The sequence below is a fragment of the Homo sapiens genome, chromosome 22 (genome assembly GCF_000001405.40).
Source record: "Homo sapiens chromosome 22, GRCh38.p14 Primary Assembly".
Taxonomy (NCBI): domain Eukaryota; kingdom Metazoa; phylum Chordata; class Mammalia; order Primates; family Hominidae; genus Homo; species Homo sapiens.
The window spans coordinates 41,698,166-41,721,444 of record NC_000022.11 but is presented as its reverse complement, the minus strand read 5'-3'; the positions used below and the strand labels follow the sequence as shown (position 1 = coordinate 41,721,444).

The 23,279-nt window shown below is 46.9% G+C and overlaps 1 protein-coding gene and 1 pseudogene across 27 annotated transcripts in view, besides 1 other annotated feature; one reads left to right on the top strand and one right to left on the bottom strand.

The window, feature by feature from the left end:
• The window catches only part of MEI1 (meiotic double-stranded break formation protein 1), a 99,952-nt gene extending 78,010 nt beyond the window's left edge, over nucleotides 1–21,942 (bottom strand). For 23 of the 27 annotated variants that reach the window (XR_937820.2, XR_937819.2, XR_007067959.1 and 20 more), the window contains exons 1-6: nucleotides 21,733–21,942; nucleotides 17,991–18,114; nucleotides 15,891–15,941; nucleotides 7,370–7,443; nucleotides 5,299–5,404; nucleotides 3,171–3,374 (exon numbers count right to left, since the gene is read on the bottom strand). Coding sequence is in view for 23 of the 27 variants with exons in the window: in XM_011529945.4 (XP_011528247.1) it covers nucleotides 3,171–3,374; nucleotides 5,299–5,404; nucleotides 7,370–7,443; nucleotides 15,891–15,941; nucleotides 17,991–18,114; nucleotides 21,733–21,906 (733 nt within the window). In the remaining 4 variants the exon portion in view is untranslated. Of the gene's footprint in view, nucleotides 1–3,170; nucleotides 3,375–5,298; nucleotides 5,405–7,369; nucleotides 7,446–15,890; nucleotides 15,942–17,990; nucleotides 18,115–18,449; nucleotides 18,538–19,590; nucleotides 19,996–21,732 lie in introns of those variants that run through there. The other 4 variants (XM_011529942.4, XM_047441161.1, XM_011529948.4 and 1 more) reach the window with 4 other exon arrangements.
• On the top strand, nucleotides 11,860–12,420 carry HMGN2P10 (high mobility group nucleosomal binding domain 2 pseudogene 10; annotated as a pseudogene).
• Nucleotides 21,870–21,969: a silencer, noted in NCBI's record as "silent region_13796". NCBI's record gives its function as "represses an Ori minimal core promoter by ATAC-STARR-seq in GM12878 lymphoblastoid cells {active_cell/tissue: GM12878}" and the evidence as "EXISTENCE:reporter gene assay evidence [ECO:0000049][PMID:35858748]".

Sequence of the window (23,279 nt, the reverse complement as noted above, 5' to 3'; positions counted from 1 at the left end):
GTGAAACCCCGTCTCTACTAAAAATACAAAAAAATAGCCAGATGTGGTGGCATGCGCCTGTAGTCCCAGCTACTCAGGAGGCTGAGGCAAGAGAATTGCTTGAACCTGGGAGGCGGAGGTTGCAGCGAGCCGAGATTGTGCCATTGCACTCCAGCCTGGGTGACAGAGCGAGACTCCGTCTCAAAAAAAAAAAAAAAAAAAAAAAAAGAACGGGCGTGGTGGCTAACACCTGTAATCCCAGCACTTTGGGAGGCCGAGGCGGACATATCCTGGGGAGGCCGAGATGGGCGGATCATGAAGTCAAGAGATCGAGACCATCCTGGCTAACATGGTGAAACCCCATCTCTACTAAAAATACAAAAAAAAGGCTGGGCGCAGTGGCTTAAGCCTGTAATCCCAGCACTTTGGGAGGCCGAGGTGGGTGGATCACGAGGTCAGGAGATCGAGACCATCCTGGCTAACATGGTGAAACCCCGTCTCTACTTAAAAAAAAAAAATTCAAAAAATTAGCCGGGCGTGGTGGCAAGCACCTGTAGTCCCAGCTATTCGGGAGGCTGAGGCAGGAGAATGGCGTGAACCTGGGAGGCGGAGCTTGCAGTGAGCAGAGATCACGCCACTCCACTCCAGCCTGGCCAGCAGAGCGAGACTCTGTCTCAAAAAAAATAAAAAATAAAAAATAAATTAGCCGGGCATGGTGGCAGGCGCCTGTAATCTCAGCTACTCGGGAGACTGAGGCAGGAGAATGGCGTGAACCCGGGAGGTGGAGCTTGCAGTGAGCTGAGATCACGCCCACTGCACTCCAGCCTGGGCAACTGTGCCAGACTCCGTCAAAAAAAAAAAAAAAAAATTGAGCCAGGCATAGTAGTGCAGGCTGTGGTCCCAGCTACTCGGTAGGCTGAGGTGGGAAGATCATTTAAGCCCTGGAGGTCAAGGATGCAGTGAGCTGTGATCCTACCACTGCACTCCAGCCTGGGTGACAGAACAAGACCCTGTCTCAAAATAAATAAGTAAATAAAAATTTTAAAAAATAAAAGTGGGAATTCCCAGTATAACCAGTTGAGATTTCCCTCTGCTGTGGTTAGGTGAGCTGTAGGACTGCCAAGGGCCTCACCCTAGGGCCTGTATTTGCACCCTTTTGTTCTATATGCACTAACTCCAACACTGCCCTGCTGCAAGTTACCGCAGATACAGGCTGCTTCATACCTCGTGCTCTGGCCCGTGTTTCTGCCTTCCTCCTCTCCCCCCCAATTTAGGACTCAGTCCAGGCATCCTTTCCTTTAGGAAGCTTCTCCTGTCCCCTGCTCCTACCCTCTGCTGTGCACCTCCAAGATGGCACTCATCACACTAGACTCTAGTTGTCCATGTGTGTCTTCTACACTGGCCTGTGAGCTCCCCTAAGATAAAGCTTGGATTTGATCATCTCTGTGACCTCAGAGCCCAGCACAGGGCCAGCTATAGAACGAATGCTCACTATGTATGGCTAGGTCATTCATAACAGAGCTCCTGATCCAAATTTTGAAAAGAAGCTGCTGTCACCAATAGACTATGCTTTTCTCTACAGCTTCTACCTGAGAACAGGCCCTCAACCAGGCACCAATTACAGTGCCCATCTGTTCTGCCCAAAATAAGAAATCTCCCTGCTTAGAACAGTTGATAGACCTTATGTATTTATGTAAAAAAATAGCAGGAGAGGACGTTAAAAGGGTATGTTGGGGCTTCTAAAGAGCCTCAAGTAACAAGCAGAGAAACCTAGTGCCATGGTTTGAATGTGTTCCCCAAAGTTCATGTGTTGGAAACTGAATCCCCAATGCAGCGGTATCAGGAGCTGGGACCTACGGGTGGTGTTTGGGTCATGAGTTTGGGGTTTGGGTTTGGACCCTCATGAATGAATTAATGCCATCACCATGGGAGTGGGTTTGTTATCATGAGAGTAGGCTCCTCATAAAAGGACAAGTTCAGGCCAGGCACAGTGGCTTGCGCCTTTAATCCCAGCACTTGGGGAGGGCAAGGTGGGCAGATCACCTGAAATCAGGAGTTCGAGACCAGCCTGGGCAACATGGTGAAACCCCGTTTCCACTAAAAATATAAAACTTGGCCGGATGTGATGGTGGGTGCCTGTAATGCCAGCTACTCAGGAGGCTGAGGCATAAGAATCACTTGAACCGGCCGGGCGCGGTGGCTCACGCCTGTAATCCCAGCACTTTGGGAGCCAAGGCGGGTGGATCACGAGGTCAGGAGATCGAGACCATCCTGTCTAACACGGTGAAACCCCGTCTCTCCTAAAAATACAAAAAATTAGCTGGGCATGGTGGCAGGCGCCTGTAGTCCCAGCTACTCGGGAGGCTGAGGCAGGAGAATGGTGTGAACCCGGGAGGCGGAGCTTGCAGTGAGCCAAGATTGCGCCACTGCAGTCCGGCCTGGGCAACAGTGTGAGACTCTGTCTCAAAAAAAAAAAAAAAAAAAAAGAATCACTTGAACCGGGGAGGTAGAGGTTGCAGTGAGCTGAGAAAGCACCACTGGACTCAAGCTGGGCAACAGAGCAAGGCTCTGTCTCAAAAAAAAAGAAAAAAGAAAAAAAAGGACAAGTTCAGTCCCCTCTAGCTTTTTCTCTTGCCCTCTCTTTGCCCTTCCACCATGGGATGACAGAGCAAGAGGGGTTTCACCAACTGCCAGCCTCTTGATCTTGGACTTCCTAGGCTCCAGAACTACAAACCAATAAATTTCTGAACCAATAAGTTTTTCATTATAAATCACCTAGTCTGTGGTATCCTGTTATAGCAGCATAAAATGCACTAAGACACCTAGGCTTTACCCTGGAGGCCAGAGGGAACCATGGAAGAATTTCTGACTTAAGAAAGTGACAGGACGTGAGCTATACAATGTAAAGATTAACTTGCCAGCAAATACAGGATGCACCAGGGCAGGCAGTAAAGGCAGAAAAAATTGCTGTCCCACTTTCCTTCCTATTTTCCTCCAAAGGCAACATTCTTAAGATGTCATACCAACTCTAGGCATCTTTCACACAGTGTGTCTCTTATCTCTCAAGCCTTGTGGCTTCTACCTTTTGCAAAACAGCAAACTTCCCCACTACTAGAGAACCCAATATCTCAAGTCTTCTAGCAAAATGTCAAAAACTTATTCTCCCTTTTTTCTCCAGCCTCATGTCTTACCCAAGCAGTTAATCTGCAGCTCCTTTGTCTGGGCACCATCCAGGATGGAAAGGAAGAGGGGAAAAAGCTTCTCACGGAAGTGTCCTGAAAGCATCTCAGCTGCCACTGGTGAGGAGTATAGCTTCCCATAAAGGTAACAGACAGAAGCTTGTATGCCCTCACTGGGGTATACTAAGCCTCTCAACAGATGCTCCATCAGGTTGCCTGTCCAGAAAACAACCAAGGAGCCAAGGGAAATTTCACAATGTCAACTGCTATATGAAACTCCAATCTATTATTCCTAACGGGGTAGTAATGGTAAGTCCCTATAATCCCCCACAAAAAATGCTTTCTGCATGCTTAATCTAAAGGCAAAACCAAACTGGGCACAGTAACTCACACCTGTAATCCCAGCACTTGGGAAGGCCAAGGCAGAAGGATCACCTAAGGTCAGGAGTTCGAGACCAGCCTGGCCAACAAGACGAGACCCAGCATCTACTAAAAATACAAAAATTAGCCGGGCATGCTGGCACACGCCTGTAATCCCAGCTACTTGAGAAGCTGAGGCAGGAGAATCGCTGAAACCCACGAGGCAGAGGTTGCAGTGAGCCGAGATCATGCCACCACACTCCAGCCTAGGCAACAGAGCGAGACTCCAACTCAAAAAAAAAAAAAAAGAAAAGAAAAAAGAAAAAGAAAGCCAGGTGCAGTGGCTCATTCCTGAAATCTCAGCACTTTGGGAGGCCAAGGTGGGAGGATCACTTGAGACCAGCAGGTTGAGACCAACCTGCTCTACATAGTGAGATCTGGTCTCTAAAAAATAATAATAATTAGGCTGGGCATGGTGCCTCATGGCTGTAATCCCACCACTTTGGGAGGCCGAGGTGGGCAGATCACTTGAAGTCAGGAGTTCAAGACCAGTCTGGCCAACATGGCGAAACCCCACCTCTACTAAAAATACAAAAATTAGCCTGGTGTTGTGGCGGACGCCTATAATCCCAGCTACTCAGGAGGCTGAAGCAGGAAAATCACTTGAACCTGGGAGGCAGAGATTTCAGTAAGCCAAGATCATGCCACTGCGCTGTAGCCCGGTTCTGTCTCAAAAAATTATTATTATTATTATTAATTTTTTTAAAAAGGGGAAACCAACTTAAAGAAGTTATTTACCCTTTGGTAAATCCTCTGGGAGATATTTATTTGCATTTCACTGACAGAAAAAAGTGCTTCTATATTCCAGAATTCCTCCTTCCATCCAAAAGGAAGGTTCATAGTAGGTACTTAATTAATTTGTGTTAAAGAATGAATGGAGCCGGGCGTGGTGGCTCACACCTGTAATCCCAGCACTTTGGGAGACTGAGGCGGGTCCAACAGCAGGTCAGGAGATCGAGACCATCCTGGCTAACATGGTGAAACTCCGTCTCTACTAAAAATACAAAAAATTAGCCAGGCATGGTGGCAGGCGCCTGTAGTCCAAGCTACTCGGGAGGCTGAGGCAGTAGAATGGCGTGAACCCGGGAGGCAGAGCTTGCAGTGAGCCGAGATCGCGCCACTGCACTCCAGCCTGGGCAACAGAGCAAGACTCGTCTCAGGGAAAAAAAAAAAAAAAAAAGAATGAATGGAAGGCCAGCGTGGTGGCTCACGCCTGTAATCCCAGCACTTTGGGAGGCTGAGGCAGGCGGATCACCTGAGGTTGGGAGGTCAAGACCAGCCTGACCAACATGGAGAAACCCCGTCTCTACCAAAAATACAAAATTAGTCCAGCGTGGTGGCACATGCCTGTAATCCCAGCTACTCGGGAGGCTGAGGTAGGAGAATCGCTTGAACCCGGGAGGTGGAGGTTGCAGTGAGTCGAGATTGCGCCATTGCACTCCAGCCTGGGCAACAAGAGCAAGACTCCGTCTCAAAAAAAAAAAAAAAAAAAAAAAAAAAAAAAAAAAAAAGAATGAATGGAAATAGTCCAAGAATAGAGTCAAAAAACTGACCTTTTTCAAATTGACCGACATACAGTACATTTTGCAGACGGGGAAACTGAAGGCTAAAGCAGGAAAGTAATGACTTCCCAGGTGTACAGAGTGAATGGGACACCCAAATGGCAGTATGATAAAAGCAGGTAAAAGGGTAGTGGCAGCTCCTCCCACAGGTCACTCACCATGCTCCATTACAAGCTCGTCTGCCAGAGCAGGGATGGCATCCACCAACTTGCCAAGAAGGGTCAGGGTGGCCAGGCTGCCTCGCATGGAGGGCATGTTACACAGCTACAGAAAGTGAATATGCTCCATTCTGTCAATTAGGATCAGGACAGATCTTCCACCAAAACTGATCTTTCCCTACCCACACCAATGCCTGTATTGCATGTGTCTCTCACCACAGTCAGCAATCAGCTTTTTTAGCTTAGTGTCCAGCTCCCCCACTGGACTGGGAACTCCCAGAGGAAAGGGACTGAGTCCTCTCAGAGTCCTCAGTACCTAGCTCAGTGCATGTTTGTTAAACTGAATTAAAATCTACATATTTTGCCTCCATAGAACCAGAAGTTGGGGGACAAAAGTTTGAAATGTCATAAAGACAGAACACTGACTCGATGCAAAAAAAAAAAATTATTGTTGGCCAGGCGTGGTGGCTCACGCTGTAATCCCAGCATTTTGGGAGGCCGAGGCGGGCGGATCACGAGGTCAGGAGATCGAGACCATCCTGGCTAACACAGTGAAACCCCGTCTCTACTAAAAGTACAAAAAATTAGCCGGGTGTGGTGGGAGGCGCCTGTAGTCCCAGCTACTCGGGAGGCTGAGGCAGGAGAATGGCGTGAACCCGGGAGGCGGAGCTTGCAGTGAGCCAAGATTGCGCCACTGCACTCCAGCCTGGGAAACAGTGAAAGACTCCGTCTCAAAAAAAAAAAAAAAATTATTGTTATCATAGTTATTATAGCTCCTATTACTGAACATTCTCTGTATACCAGGCACTATGCTTCATGCTTTACAGGGAGAGTCAATAGTCCATATTTTACCTTTTCTATTGACTAGCTAGTCATACCACTTTTGGCAAGATTCTTAACTCTGGTGGGAAATAATAATAGTAACAGCTTTATAGGGTTGTTGATAGGGCTGAATGAGATATTACATATAAACCACCTCATACAATCCCTAGCCCATAGAAAGTGCTCAATAAATGTTAAGTGGCATCATCTCATCATAATCATAAGCACTGATATATATAATTATAAATTCAATCTGACATATTAATCATATGTAAAATAACTATGATATAATTGAAATATAATTTATAATGAAATGTTCTTGATGGTTTTAACAAGATAAACATTTGTTTTCCTTCTGCAAATTAAATAAAAAGTTATTCTGATATTATTCCTCAGTCTTAAATACAACACAAAAGCTGCTCTTTAACTGATATTTTTTTTTTTTAGATGGAGTCTTGCTTTGTCACCCAGGCTGGGGTGCAGTGGTGCGATCTCAGCTCACTGCAAACTCCACCTCCTGGGTTCATGCAATTCCCCTGCCTCAGCCTCCCCAGTAGCTGGGATTACTTGCATGCACCACCACGCCCAGCTAATTTTTTTTTTTTTTTGTATTTTTAGTAGAGACGGGGTTTCACCATAATGGCCAGGCTGATCTCGAACTCCTGACCTCAAGTGATCCACCCACCTCAGCCTCCCAAAGTGCTGGGATTACAGGTGTGAGCCATTGTGCCTGGCTAACTAATTTCTTTGACTACACTGAAGAAAGCAGATTAAACATACCATATCCACTCAATGCTTACCTCAGATAGAAGCAAACGCCTTCAGTACAAAGTAAGCTGATAGAACCAAACACCTTCAGTACTAAGTAATGTATACAATTCAAAATTAAATAAAACCACCAAAACAAGACATAGAGAACATATTTCCTTGACAACTTCATCAAGGAAATCTGTATTATAATTAGGAAGTCACGGAAAATGAACCATGGGATGATTATGCCAGAAAGATGGCACTTCATTGCATGGAGGTAACATTTGGGAGATTGAAAGGGGAAAGAAGAAAGCTGTAAAGAACACTGGAGCATGATCAGTGGACCCAGGCCTTAGCTCTGACTCTGCCACCAACTCAGTGACCTCAGGAAAGCTCCTTTTCCTCCCTGGACTTCAATCTCTCATTTGTTCAAAGGGTTGACCCAGCTCTGACATCTGAGGATTCTGAGAGACTCAAGAACCCATAGCTATTTTCTGACCTCTTTGTGGCACTCATCCAGCAGGCAACGGATAGTCTGCTCCAGCTTCAGCTGCGTTGTGATCTGAATAAGGACTGAACAGACACAACAGTATTACTAACCAGGAGGCACCCCCAACCCAGAGTCCACCTTCCATGGCCCTTCTACTCAATCAGTGCAGGATAGTGATTTGCCTGGGCTAATTGGTATTATACTTTTCTATTTCTTCCATTTAACTATGTGTGCACAGGCCAGGCACAGTGGCTCACATCTGTAATCCCAGCACTTTGGGAGGCCGAGGCAGGCGGATCACCTGAGGTGAGGAATTTGAGACCAGCCTGACCAACATGGAGAAACCTCGTCTCTATTAGAAAAACAAAATTAGCCGGACATGGAGGTGCAGGCCTGTAATCCCAGCTACTCGGGAGGTTGAGGCAGGAGAATTGCTTGAACCCGGCAGGCGGAGGTTGTAGTGAGCCAAGATCGTGCCATTGCACTCCAGCATGGGCAACGAGAGCAAAAACTCTGTCTCAAAAACAAAACAAAACAAAACAAAAAAACAACTATGTGTGCACATCTAAACTAAAGGAGTTCTGGCTTCTTTTTTTTTTTTCTTTTGATTTTGCTTTTGCTTTGTTTAGAGACAGGGTCATCCAGGCTAAAGTGCAGTGGTGTGATCATAGCTCACTGCAGCCTTGAACTCCTGGGCTCAAGCAATCCTCCCACTCAGGCTCTCAAGCAGCTGGGACTACAGGTACATGCCACTATGCCTGGCTAATTTTTTAATTTTTTTGTAGGGACAGGGTCTGTACTGCCCAGGGTAATCTCAAATGCCTGGGCTTCAGCAGTCCTCCTGCCTGTCTCCCAAAGTGCTGGGATAATAGGTGTGAGTCACCATGCCTGGCCTTCTTTGATTTATTATCAGTGGTTCTCAACTCAGGCTGCACATTAGACTCACCTAGGAAGCTTTAAAAAAATTCTAATGCCCAGCCGGGCGCGGTGGCTCACGCATGTAATCCCAGCGCTTTGGGAGGCCGAGATGGGCGGATCACGAGGTCAGGAGATGGAGACCATCCTGGCTAACACGGTGAAACCCCGTCTCTGCTAAAAATACAAAAAAATTAGCCAGGTATGGTGGCAGGCATCTGTGGTCCCAGCTACTCAGGAGGCTGAGGCAGGAGAATGGCATGAATCTGGGAGGTGGAGTTTGTAGTGAGCCGAGATCACGCCACTGCACTCCAGCCTGGGCAACAGAGCGAGACTCCATCTCTAAAAAAAAAAAAAAAACAAACAAACAAAACTAATACCCAAGTCCCACCCCAGACCAATTGAATGTCTAAGGGAAAAGCCCAATATATTGTTTTGTTTAATGTGAATATATATATATATTGCTCCACACACACACACACACACACACACACACATCTATTTCTATTTAAATATACTTAAATATATTTAAATGTTTTATACTTTAAAATATTTTTCTAAATATAAAATTCTAGTGTATTTCTAAAGTTCTCCAGGTAAGTCTATTGTGAAGCCAGGTTTGAAAACTGCTTTTGAGCCGGGCGCAGTGGCTCACGCCTGTAATCCCAGCACTTTGGGAGGCCAAGGCGGGTGGATCACGAGGTCAGGAGATCAAGACCATCCTGGCTAACACGGTGAAACCCCATCTCTACTAAAAATACAAAAAAATTAGCCGGGCGTGGTGGTGGGCGCCTGTAGTCCCAGCTACTCGGGAGACCGAGGCAGGAGAATGGCGTGAACCCAGGAGGTGGAGCTTGCAGTGAGCCAAGATCGCGCCACTGCACTCCAGCCTGGGCAACAGAGCGAGACTCCGTATCAAAGAAACAAACAAACAAACAAAAAAAACACAATGCTTTTTTTTTTTTGAGCCGGAGTTTTACTCTTGTTGCCCAGGCTGGAGTGCACTGGCATGATCTCGCCTCACTGCAACTTCTGCCTCCTGGGTTCAAGTGATTCTCCTGCCTCAGCCTCCCGAGTAGTTGGGATTACAGGCACCCGCCCCCCACGCCTGGCTAATTTTTTATACTTTTAGTAGAGATGGGGCTTCTACATGTTGGCCAGGCTGGTCTCGAACTCCTAACCTCAGGTGATCCGCCCGCCTTGGCCTCCCAGGGACTATAGGTGTGAGCCACTGTGCCTGGCCAAAAACTGCTATTTTATATTATCTCTACTATTTCTTTCCTCAGTTTGCTCCTTTATATATACTAAAAAAAAAGAATTATAGGCAAGTTCCTATAGCCAATTATTACAACATTATCTCTTAGCTCCAAACCCACCCTTCTCTACAATCATTTGTGGTACTTCTGCTGGTGGCTTTGAGGAGAGATTTGGTAAGGTTGGAAAAGCTGCAAACTAAATTCAGCAGCTGCTGTGGGAAGGTTCTGTCACTGGAGGTTCAAGAAGCATTCTAGGCGAACACGCACAGAAACAAGAAGCAGGAAGAAAGCAAACAGGAACCATGAGGAAGGAGCAAGTCCTTCACCCCTCACCCTTAGTCTTCCTCTAGTGCTTTCCACCTAGGTGAAGTTCCTGAGGTCTGATGGTTCTGCAAGCCATGCTGATACCAACCAGAAGTGGATGGCTGCAGGATTGTAGCCCCACTCAAGGGTGGCCTAGAAGGAAAATGATGAAGGAAAATCCCCCGGGGGGTCAGAACGGATCATGAGGTCAAGAAATCGAGACCATCCTGGCTAACACGGTGAAATCGTCTCTACTAAAAATACAAAAAAATTAGCCGGGCGCAATGGCGGGCGCCTATAGTCCCAGCTACTCGGGAGGCTGAGGCAGGAGAATGGCGTGAACCCAGGAGGCAGAGCTTGCAGTGAGCCGAGATCGCGCCACTGCACTCCAGCCTGGGCAACAGAGTGAGATTGTCTCAAAAAAAAAGAAAAAAAAAGAAATACTGGTGACAATGAGGCCTGGAGAAGAAGATGGACCTTTCAGAGGGAGCATAAAGTGGGAAGACACTTGTCTCTTGTGTGAATGCTCCCTAAAGAACATCTATTAAAGAAGAGATTCTCAGTAACCAGGTAGTCAAAATGGCACATTTTGTGAATGCTAATCCACCTGTTTCCCTCACCATCAAGTGCTTATTCAATGGATCCATGTACAAGTTGGCTATGGTGGCAGAGCTGGAGGCTATGCGCTGGGCTCAACAACACGGACTTTCCCTTGTCAAGGCTAAATTGATTACTGCTATGACTGAGTGCCTAACCTGCCAACAGCAAATGGAGAGGCAGAGATTTGTCCTCACTGGAATAAACATGTATTCTGAATACAGACTTGCCTTCCCAAACCATGATACTTCTGCCAAAAACACATTTGTAAGCTTACAGAATGGCTTATTCAATATCATGGTATTCTGCACAACATCACTTGGATTAAGGAACTCATTTCACAAAAGAAGTGAGGCAATGGGATCACACCCATAAAATTCACTGCCCTTATCCCATACTCTATCAGCTGGAACCACCTGACCTAAAAGAATGTGGAATGGCCTCTGAAGACTCAGTTATTCCACCATCTGAAAGACACCACTCTGAAAGGATAGGGTTCTATCTTCCATGTGGTATATATTTTGATGCGGTGATCAACATTCGGTGCTGTCTTACCCACAGTAGAATACATGGGTCAGAGAATCAAGGGGTAAAGTGGGAGTCATTTCCCTATTACACTTACTAACCCACTTGCAGAATTTTTGTATCCTATAATAGCTCACTAGGGCTTCCATAATAAAATACCACAGACTGGATGGCTTAAACAACAGAAATTTTCTCACAGTTCTTGAGGTTGAAAGCCCAAGATCAAAGTGTCAGCAGATTTGGTTTCTTCTGAGGCCTCTCTTCCTGGCTTGCAGACGGCTACCTTCTCACTTGCCCTCACATGGTCTTTGCTTGGTGCACACACACCCCTGGTGTCTCTGTGTGTGTGTTCAAATTTGCTCTTCTTATAAGGATACTAGTCAGATTGGATTAGGGTCCATCCTAATTGCCTCATTTTAGCTTAATCAACTTTTTAAAGGCCCTATCCCCAAAGACACTCACATTCAGAGGTTCTGAGAGTTAGGGCTTCCACATATAAATTTGCCGGGGGTGGGGGGTACATATAAATTTAGCCCACAACATATCCTATCCTGCAACTTTGGGCTCTGCTAAAGATCTTAGTTCCTAAGGAAAGAATGCTTCCATGAGAGGTCACACAATGGTTTCATTGAATTAGAAGTTGTGACTATCATCTGGCCATTTTGAGGCCTCATGTCATTCAACCAATAGGCAAATAAGGGATTATTCTACTACCTGGAATGACTGATCCCAATATCCAGGGGAAACTCAGTTGCCACTAACAATAATGGCAAGGAGGACTATGTCTGGAACCAGGTATTCTCTGGGGCTCTTCTTACTAGTCTCATATTCAATAGTAAAAGTTAATGAAAAACATCAGCAACCAAAAAAAAAGGAAGAGCCACTGAAGATTCAGACCTTTCAGAAGAAGAGGCGAGAACAACCCCTGGACCGACCAAAGCCCGTGTGCCGCTGCATCCCGCGCACAGCACCTACATCCCGCTGCCGTCGCTGCTGCCACCATGCCCAAGACAAAGGCTGAAGGTGATGCTAAAGGAGATAAAGCCAAGGTGAAGGACGAACCACAGAGAAGATCCACAAGGTTGTCTGCAAAATCTGCTCCTCCAAAGCCAGAGCCCAAGCCTAAAAAGGCCCCTGCAAAGAAGAGAAGGTACCCAAAGGGAAAAAGGGAAAAGTGGATGCTGGCAAGGAAGGGAATAACCCTGCAGAAAATGGAGATGCCAAGACAGACCAGGCACAGAAAGCTGAAGGTGCTGGAGATGCCAAGTGAAGTGTGTACATTTTTGGTAACTGTGTACTTCTGGTGACTGTACAGTTTGAAATACTATTTTTTATCAAGTTTTATAAAAATGCAGAATTTTTTTAAGCTATGTTGTTAGCACACAGAACACTTCACTGTTATATTTTGGGGAAGGGGCATATGTCACTAATAGAATGTCTTCACAGCTGGACTGATGTGGGGAAACATCTTTCCCTTCTAGTTGTGAGAGACTTCCTCTTGGCTCCCAGGAGGAGGGATTCCCTGACTTTGACACACGTGGCCACTTTGGCACAAAAGCCTTGTGGTATGGAAAAACAAATTCGTTTTTATGTCCTCTTCTCCCTCTCTACCTTTCAGCATAGACTTAACTCCCTTAAGACCCAGACATCTGTTGGGACCTGACCCCTAATCATTGGTTACCAGTGTGTCAGGCAATCTAGACTTTCCAGTGATGCCACTGAGATGGCATCTGTCGAAAGAACAGTGCCTCCATTTTTAGATTGTGGATCTTCAGATAAATTCTGCCATTTTCATTTCACTTCCTGAAAGTCAGGGTCGGCTTGTTTAAAGTTGTTAAACAACATGCTAAATGTGAAATGTCAACCCTCACTCTAAACTTTTCCTGTTCAGAGCATCAGATGAAGACTTCATTGGGTTTTATAGTGGCTTTCCGATTTTTGGTATCCACTGAAGACGGGAGTTTGAAAGTTGTTGTATACTGTTAACGACTGTCTGCCCATGTCCTGCCTGAAATACCATGACTGTTTATGGAAAGTATCTTTAATAAAGCTGGATACAGTTTGGCTTGGAAAAAAAAAAAAAAGATTCAGACCTTTCAGGAATGAAGGTGTGAGTCACCCTACCATGTAAAAACCCTGACCAGTTGAGACCCTCGTTGAAGGCAAAGGATACATAGAACAAACACCATTAAGAAGGAAATTATAAATATTAACTATATCGTTTTGACCAGTTATGAAAATGAAGATTGTAATATATTTCTGTAACTGTTTTCTTCTCTCTCCTTTTTTCCTTATTGTTTGTACAAGTTTTGGTGGAGGTTAGCTTTAAAATTTAGTCTTTCGGTAACAGAATATTCATATAGGACTGTGATTGAATTTAAAAATAAATTATTAACCTCCTTATGTTGGGGACAAATTGACAATGGCTTAGTCTGTATGAAGTATATGAATGAAGGATAGTTACATCTTGTTAGGTAAACAAAAAGTTGTTTTTGTTCTATGGGAGTTCAAATATGTGGAGAAGGGTGTTTGGACACCAAGTAGCCAAAGGAATGGATCAAACCAGTTATTACACTATTGTCTTTGAGCTCCAGAACCCACCCTGTAATCTGCCTTGGAAGACTAAGACTGGACTCTGCAAATCACATTTTTGCTTTGCTAGCTGAACCTCATTAAGCTCTGCCAATAATGAGCACTAGAAAGAGATGGCAAGGCTATAGGAAGAAGGGATTTGCTCCTTCCTTTTTGTTTCCTATGGGTTTCCTGTCTGCTTCCCATTCATGTAAGTCTTCCCATTCATATAAGTCTTCCCATTCATGTAAGTATCCCCTTAACACTTTTTTTTTAAGAGACAGTCTTGCTATGTTGCCCATGTTGGACTTGAACTCCTGAGCTCAAGTGATCCTCTCACCTCAATCTCCTGAGTAGCTAGGACCACAGACCCACACAATTAAGATGCCTGGCACCTTAGCACTTCTTTATCCTGGCAGTGGCAGTGCCATTCTATGACAGCAGCCGAATCCAGCCTGCAGTTTTTCCAGAACCACCTTCATTGCATCTCTCCTCCTCCAGAGACAACGGTATTATCTAGTCAGTGCCACTCAGAGGTCTGAGTTTCATAACTAGGCCCTTCCTCCAAACTTCTAAGTTTTAACAATTCCAGCCTCTTTCCTTTGTTCCCCCAGCCCCAGTGAGGGAGTTGTTTTCTATAATTGCTATCTCCATGAAAATTTGGTTGTTCTCTTTTTCTTCAGTTACCTACTTAACCAACATTATTTTTTTAATTGAGACAGGGTCTCACTGTATCACCCAAGTTGAAGTGCAGTGGCGCGATCTCAGCTCACTGCAACCTCCACCTCCCGGGTTCAAGTGATTCTCCTGCCTCTGCCTCCCAAGTAGCTGGGATTACAGGTGCCCGCCACCGCGCCCGGCTAATTTTTTTTTTTTTTTTTTTTTTTTTGGTAGAGATGGGGTTTCACCATGTTGGCCAGGCTGGTCTCGAACTCATGACTTCAAGTGATCCACAGGCCTAAGCCTCCCAAAGTGCTGGGATTACAGGCGTGAGCCACTGCGCCCGGCCTACTTAACCATTCTTTAAAGTTTTTTTCTATTCAAATAATTGGTGTGGTTTCTATTTCCTGACTGGATCCTAACTAGTACAATTCTCACTCTCTCTGCAAGAATCGTCACATACCAGGGCTCTTACCTTCTTTCTCTACAAACCCTTTATAGGTAAACCCATGCGCTTCGACAATTTTTGTTTTTTTTTTTTAAGAGAAAGGGGTCTCACTTTGTCATCCACGCTAGAGTGCAGTGGGATGATCATAGCTCACTGTCACCTCAAACTCCTGGACTCAAGGGATCCTCCCACCTCAGCCTCCCGAGTAGCTAGGACTACAGGCATGTTGTACCATGCTCAGTCCACTTCAACAGTTTTAACCACCATCTGTGTGCAGACAACTTTCAATGAACCAATACGAGATGTACTAAAAAAGAGTTTTGTATGTGCCTTTGTAACAGCACTCATCAAATCTAGTTATTTGCCTGTCAGTCAATCTCTTCTCCAGATTGTAAGCTCCTAGAGGACAGGGACCATGTCTTATCTATCTATGTATCCGTAGTGCCTGATCCAGTATCTAGCACAGAGTAAATACCCAAGGAAAAAATGTAAGGCCAGGAATGGTGACTCACGCCTATAATCCCAGCACTTTGGGAAGCCAAGCAGGAGGATTGCTTGAGAATAGCCGTTTGAGACCAGCCTAGTCAATATGGTAAGTCCCTGTCTCAACGAAAAGAAATTTTTTTAGCCAGTCATGGTAGTGCACACCTGTAGTCCCAGATACTCGGGAGGCTGAGGCGGGAAGATTGCTTGAACCCAGGAGTTCAAGGCTGCAGTGAGCTATGATTGTACCACTGCACTCCAGCCTGGGTGACAGAATGAGCCCATGTCTCAACAAAAAGAAGAGAGAGAGAAAAAGAAAGACTGGGTGCAGTGGCTCATGCCTGTAATCCCAGCACTTTGGGAGGCTGAGGCAGGCAGATCGCCTGAGGTCAGGAGCTCGAGACCAGCTTAGCCAGCATGATGAAACCCTGTCTCTACTCAAAATACAAAAATTAGCTGGGTGTGGTGGCAGATGCCTGTAATCCCAGCTACTCGGGAAGCTGAGGCAGGAGAATCGCTTGAACCCGCGAGGCAGAGGTTGCAGTGAGCTGAGATTGCACCACCGCACTCCAGCCTGGGCAACAGAGCAAGATTCCGTCTCAAAAAAAAAAAAAAAAAGTAAAAAACAAATGTTGAATTAGTGATTGAAAACTAATGGGGTTCCTCTTATCTGTGTCTAAACAGACAATTTCGCCAAGGTCTCAAGTAACCAGAGCTGCAATTCAGACTAATACTTTCATCTTCAAGTGCTAGATACAAGGTTTCAACTTACCTTCAATACAGAGGTCTGTCACACTCCCATCTTCCATGCTGCATAATAGTCCTTGGAGCAGAGGGAGGTAAGAAAGGGGTGGTTAGGCAGGGCGCGGTGGCACACATCTGTACCCCAGCAATTTGGGAGGCCGAGGTGGCAGATTACCTGAGGTCAGGAATTCAAGAAAAGCCTGACCAATATGGCGAAACCCTCTCTCTACTAAAAACACAAAAATTAGCCGGGAGTAGTGGCCTGTGCCTGTAGTCCCAGCTACTCAGGAGGCTGAGGCAGGAGAATCACTTGAACCCAGGAGGCAGAGATTACAAGGAGCTGAGACTGCACCACTGCACTCCAGCCTGGGCAACACAGACTGTCTCAAGAAAAAAAAAAAAAAAAGGAGTGGTTAAGAGTTCTCTTCAAAGAGAAATAGACCCACACAGGCACATTGTAAATTCTAAGTCTAAAAGCAGCTATAAACAATGTTCCAGCTAAATTCTACTCTCAGCACCAAATACTTTGACTTTCGATGACCTGCCCAGGCTTTAAAAAGATAACAATTGGCCGGGCGCGGTGGCTCACGCCTGTAATTCCAGCACTTTGGGAGGCTGAGGCAGGTGGATCACGAGGTCAGGAGATCGAGACCATCCTGGCTAACACAGTGAAATCCCACCTCTACTAAAAATTCAAAAAATTAGCCAGGCGTGGTGACGGGCACCTGTAGTCCCAGCTACTCGGGAAGCTGAGTCAGGAGAATGGCGTGAACCTGGGAGGCGGAGCTTGAAGTGAGCCAAGATCATGCCACCGCACTCCAGTCTGGGTGACAGAGCAAGACTCCATCTCAAAAAAAGATAAGAATTGTGGCAGGGTGCAGTGGCTCATGCCTGTAATCCTAGCATTTTGGGAGGCCAAGGCAGGCAGATCACCTGAGGTTGGGAGTTCGAGACCAGCCTGGCCAACATGGCAAAACCCCATCTCTACTAAAAATGCAAAAATTGGCCGGGCATGGTGGCACATGCCTGTAATCCCAGCTACTCGGGAGGCTGAGACAGGAGAATTGCTTGAACTCAGGAGGTGGAGGTTGCAGTGAGCTGAGATCACGCCACTGGACTCCGGCCTGGGCGAAAGAGCGAGACACCATCTCAAAAAAAAAAAAAAAAAGGGTAAGAATTGTCAATGCGGTACAGCAAAAAAAAACCCCATGTGCTCTGGTGTCTATGACAGACCTGGGATAAAATTCTAGTTCTGTCACTTGTTAGCATAAATTCCCTGAAGCTTGGAGATCATCCTAGCTCCCTTAAAAATTGTCTTGGCAGTTAAAAGCCTGAAAAGTCTCTGGCACAGAAAAGCAGTAAATACAAGTTAGCTGCCTTCCTCCCTGAAAGGGCTCATTCCACTGGACATTACCGTCACATTAAAAGAAAGAACATCAGATAAAATTTAATCTATCATACTTCACACATGAAGATATTAAGGCACAGGAGAGGGAAAGTAAGTTGAGCAGGGTCATACCTAGGTCAGCAGACTCCATTCTGGTCCTGTACAAAGACCGTGTATACTGGACTCTTTGAAGAATTTTTATTTTTGTTGAGACGGGACTCTTGCTCTGTCACCCAGGCTGGAGTGTGGTGGCACGAACTGGTCTCACTGCAACCTCCACCTCCAGGGTTCAAGCAATTCTCATGCCTCGGCCTCCCAAGTAGCTGGGACTACAGGCACGCGCCACCACACTGAGCTAATTTTTGTTATTTTTAGTAGAGATGGGGGTTTTACCATGTTGACCAGGCTAGTCTCTAACTCTTGACCTCAAGTGATCTACCCACTTCAGCCTCCCAAAGTGCTGGGACTACAGGCATGAGCCACCACGCCCGGCCAACATTTCCCATTTTCATCTTCTTACTTTTACTAACTTCTTGGCTCTAGTAAAGTCAGTTACTGTAAAATGCATCTTGGATCTTAGAAAAAGGGCCATTTCTACATCATTATGACAAAACAATTTGCTGATAAAGTATTACAATACAAAAAACCTAAATCATCTAAGATCATTTTTCCAAGAGCCCCAAAAGCAGATATACATACTATACATTCAAAACTCATGTCAAATTTCCCTCTTAATCTTACCAAAAAGCACACTTATGAAGTGGATGCAGACTCTCTGATCCTGAGACACCAGTTGCGTGACCAGGGAGGTATGCCTCACAAGGGCATCTTGGAAGCAGGACAACATGTGCTTCTTGCGCACTAACTTGAAGCAAATGAAGAAAAACATTCAATAGCAACCAAATTTTGGCTATTCTGAATCCAACAACCGTAATTTCCAAATACAATTACAAGATGATACAAGGGATCATTTAAACTACGGTGAGATCCATACTCCTTCAAGGGAGGTTGGAAAAGGATATCATTTACGCAGAGGAATCCATGTATTCATACAGAAGATTATACATGAGCTAAGGTTCCTAATGCCCTATATTTACATAGCAATTTATTTTTCACAAATCATTTTTGTCCACCAGCTCATTTAAGCCTAACAAGTTGGTGAGGAAAGCAAAAACAGAGGCCGGGCCCGGTGATTCACACCTGTAATTCCAGCACTTTGGGAGGCCAAGGCGGGCGTATCACGAGCTCAAGAGTTCCAGACCAGCATGGCCAACATGGTGCAACTCTATCTCAACTAAAAATAAAAAAATTACTCGGGCATGGTGGCAGGTGCCTGTAAACCCAGGGAGGCGGAGGTTGCAGTGAGCCGAGATAGCGCCACTGCATTCCAGCCTGGGGGACAAGAGCAAGATTTTGTCTCAAAAAAAAAAGAAAAGAAAAGTGTGTTCAGAGGCCGGGCATGGTGGCTCACGCCTGTAATCCCAACATTTTGGGAGGCCGAAGCAGGCAGATCACCTGAGGTTGGGAGTTCGAGACTGGCCTGACCAACATGGAGAAACCCGGTTTCTACTAAGAATACAAAATTAGCTAGGCGTGGTGGCGCATGCCTATATCCCCAGCTAATTGGGAGGCTGAGGCAGGAGAATCACTTGAATCTGGGAGGGGAGGTTGCGGTGAGCCAAGATCGCGCCATTGCACTACAGCCTGGACAAGAGGAAAACTGTCTCAAAAAAAAAAAAAGAAAAAAAGTGTGTTCAAGCCGGGTGCAGTGGCTCACACCTGTAATCCCAACTTTGGGAGGCCAATGTGGGTGGCTCACCTGAGGTCAGGCATTCGAGACCAGCCTGGCCAACATGGTGAAACCTCTTCTCTACTAAAAATACAAAAATTAGCCGTGCATGGTGGCAGGCGCCTGTAATCCCAGCTACTCAGAAGGCTGAGGCAGAAGAATCGCTTGAACCTGGGAGGCAGAGGTTGCAGTGAGCCAAGATTGCGCCATTGCACTCCAGCCTGGGCAACGAGAGCGAAACCATCTCAAAAGAAAAGTGTGCTCAATAAAAGGTAGAAGTTGCATCTCTTATTGCTTCTCATCTGTGCTACTGTAAGGCTCCTGTTTTTCCTTCACCAATTCATCCTACGTAATAGATTAAGGTAGTGATCTATATGAGCTACTCAAAAAATCCTAGTAACTCTCCTTCATCTGACAGATTATGTTCAAGCTCCTTAGCTGGGTTTCAAACTCTTCAAGTAACTGTCCTCAACCTGTCTCTCCAATCTCATCTCTTTCACTTTCCCTTCAAACACTCTGATTATCCCCAAAACCCATCCTTATAATACCTACCTCCTGGGATAATCAGCCTCCCACTTCCTCTGGTCCAAATCTCACCCATCTTCTTAAACCTAATTTGAATGCTTCCTCCTCTAAGAAACCTTTCCTAATTCCTCTCCTTACCCTGAACAGCACTTGACTACAAACATGTTCATTCTTCTAAGTTCTAACATGTTCTCTTATTTCTCCCCGCTGCACTGTCTTATTCATCTCTGATTTACTGTCCAAGAAAAGCAGCCTCAGAATTTCCATCCTTAATGAAAATTCAGAGGTTATTAGCTAGTTTACGAGTTCCCAGAGCACAGTGTGGGAATTCCTAAGGGTGCCTAAAACACTTCCCAGAGGTCCACAAGAACAAAAATATTTTCATATAATATTAAAATGTTCTTAGTCTTCCTCATTTTTTTTTAAATTTTTTCCATGTTGGCCAGGCTGGTCTTGAACTTCTGGCCTCGTGATCCAACCACCTCGGCCTCCCAAAGTGCTGGGATTACAGGTGTGAGCCACCGGACCCGGCCCAGTCTTTCTCATTCTTATTCTCCCACAAGTGTACAGTGGAGTTTTTGAGACTATATGACATGATAGCACAACAGACTGAATGCAGAAATAGATAAAAATCCAGCTGTTTGGCCGGGTGTGGTGGCTCACGTCTTTAATCCCAACACTTTGGGAGGCTGAGGCAGGCAGATCACCTGAGGTTGGGAGTTCAACACCAACCTGACCAACATGGAGAAACCCCGTCTATACTAAAAATACAAAATTAGCTGGGCGTAGTGACGCATGCATGTAATCCCAGCTACTCGGAAGGCTGAGGCAGGAGAATCGCTTGAACCCGGGAGGCGGAGGTTGCGGTGAGCTGAGATTGCGCCATTGCACTCCAGCCTGGGCAACAAGAGTGAAACTCCATCTCAAAAAAAAAAAAAAAAAGAAAGAAAGAAATCAAAATATTTGAGAACGCAGCCAGGCACGGTGGCTCACAGATGCAATCCCAACACTTTGGACTTTGGGAGGTCAAGGCAGGAGAATTGCTTGAGACTAGGAGTTCAAGACCAGCCTGGGCAACACAGGGAGACCCCCGGGACCGTTTCTACAAAAAAAAAAAAAAAAAAAAAAAAAATTGAGAACTGCTGATCTAGCCAATCCACCCACTCACGAATTCCCCTCCCATGAATTGGAGAGAAACTTGACCTCCCAAAGTCTTCTTGGATGCCTCCATGGACAAGAAAACTCACTGCAGGTCGGGCACCGTGGCTCACGCCTATAATCCCAGCACTATGGGAAGCCGAGGCGGGTGGATCACCTGAGGTCAAGAGTTCGAGACCAGCCTGGCCAACATGATGAAACTCCGTCTCTACTAAAAATAGAGAAATTAGCCGAGCGTGGTGGCGGGAGCCTGTAATCCCAGCTACTGGGTAGGTTGAGGCAGGAGAATCGCTTGAACCCAGGAAACAGAGGTTGCAGTGAGCGGAGATGGCGCCATTGCACTCCGGCCTGGGTGTCAGAGCGAGACTCCGTCTCGAAACAAACAAAACCACTTCATTGCAAACGCGGTAGGCAATGAGGACCCAGGCAGCCCGCTTTGGCCAGCTCTGCCCAAGGAACAGTCTTCCCGTTCACCCCCACTTCTGCCCGGCTGTAACCTGTCACTCCTGTCCCCTCGGAGCCCAGACTGCCCCTCCTCCGATTCACACCCCGACAGCTGAAGGGAATGAGGAGCGGCCGCCGCATGCGCCCCTGGCCCGCAGGTGAGTGGAGGCTGAAATGGCGGGAGGCTGAAATGGCGGGAGCCTGAGCTAAGGCCGAATCCCCGGGAAATGGAGGCAGGGGCAGCAAAGGGAAGGAGCCAGAAGGCGGAAGGCGGGAAGGTGTGTCCCTGAGACTGGGTGAGGTCCCGGGGGATCCGGATTTCCGTCCTTTCAGGCGCAGAGCCAGTGGACCGGGCTCCACGGAGGCCCGCAGGCCGGCCTGGGGCTGAGGGGCCCGAGAGGCCGCTGCGGCCGGGTCCGGGACGGGCTGACAGGGAGGAGAGTGAACACAGCGCGGGGGCCCGGTTTCGCGTCGGGTTCACCGGAGCGGGTCTGGCAAGGGCCTGGCCGCGTTTGCTGAGGGAAATGGCCAAACCCAGGTCTTCTGAAGAAAAGGTTCCGCCCGCACCGACACGCCGGGGTCCGGCAGCAGCTCCAGCGCGCAGGCCAGGCACAGGCGGGGGGTCACGGGCAGCAGCCAGCGCGGGTCGTGCCGGTAATGGGCCCTCTCGAATAGAAGCGCCGCCTCTTCCTCTCTCCTGGGCCCGGGAGTGCCCGCCGTCGCCGCCTGCCTCACAGCCATCTCCTCGCTTGCCCTCAGCTGAGGCGGCACTCTTTCCCGCGCAGACTGCACGCATGCGCACTTGGAGGACGGACCTGCGTCGGTGTGGAATGCGCCTGCGCGGACCCAGGGCGCTGCAGTCTCAGACGAGCAGCAGCCACTGAGGGCAAGTGGTGGACGCAAGTGCTCTGGATCGTGTCTAGCTAAGCCAAAAGCGGTTTGTGCTTAGAACCCTGCAGGAATGTCTTTACCACATCCAAAGTTGAAAAGCAATTATAAAGTAGGGGGCATTTGCCTTGAAAAAGGAAGGAAAGGAAGCTATTTCTACTGTTTTTTAAAAATGAAGGCCGGGCATGGTGGCTCACGCCTGTAATCCCAGCACTTTGGGAAGCCGAGGTGGGCGGATCACGAGATCTGGAGATCAAGACCATCTTACCCAACATGGTGAAACCCCGTCTCTACTAAAATACAAAAAATTAGCTGGGTGTGGTGGCAAGTGCCTGTAATCCCAGCTACTTGGGAGGCTTGAGGCAGGGGAATCACTTGAACCTGGGAGGCGGAGGTTGCAGTGAGCTGAGATTGTGCCACTGCACTCCAGCCTGGCGACAGAGCAAGACTCTATCTCAAAAAAAAAAAAAAAAAGGAAAATAAGCGATCCCAAGGATTCGCATCTAAAAGCAATTAGAGGCTGGGTGAGTTGGCTCATGCCTGTAATCACAGCACTTTGGGAGGGAGGCTGAGGCAGGAGAATCACTTGAACCTGGGAGGTGGAGGTTGCAGTGAGCCAAGATCGCACCACTGCACTCCAGCCTGGGTGACAGAGGAAGACTCCATCTTAAAAATAAATAAATAAATCAGAAGCTTAAGACCAAAAAATAAAAGTAAAAAAACAAAACAAAACACCAAAGACAGAGAGAAAGAAGTTCAAGACCAGCCTGAGCAACAGGGCGAAACCCCTCCTCTACTAAAAATACAAAAATTAGCTGGGTGTGGTGGCTCATGACTGTAATCCCAGCTACTCGGGAGGCTGAGGCAGCAGAATCGCTTGAACCCAGGAGGCGGAGGTTACAGTGAGCGGAGATCAAGCCACTGAACTCCAGCTTGGGCCACAGACCTACACTCCATCTCAAAAAAAAAAAAAAAAGCGTCCCATGCAGAGGACCACCCCTCCCCATAAGCAGCTGAGGCTTTTGGAGTGTCCTGCCTCAATCAGGATTAGCTTGGAGACAGAGCAGGATAGAACCTCAGTGGACTCCACTGTGAGGAGCTGGGGGGCAGGTGTTTCGGAGAGGACACTGGGTTGACCCACATTCCCTAAACCACAACCACAGAGTGGAAGGGGCTTCTACCCCACCCACAAAGTATCCCAAACCCCGAAAGGGGGCACTTGGAAA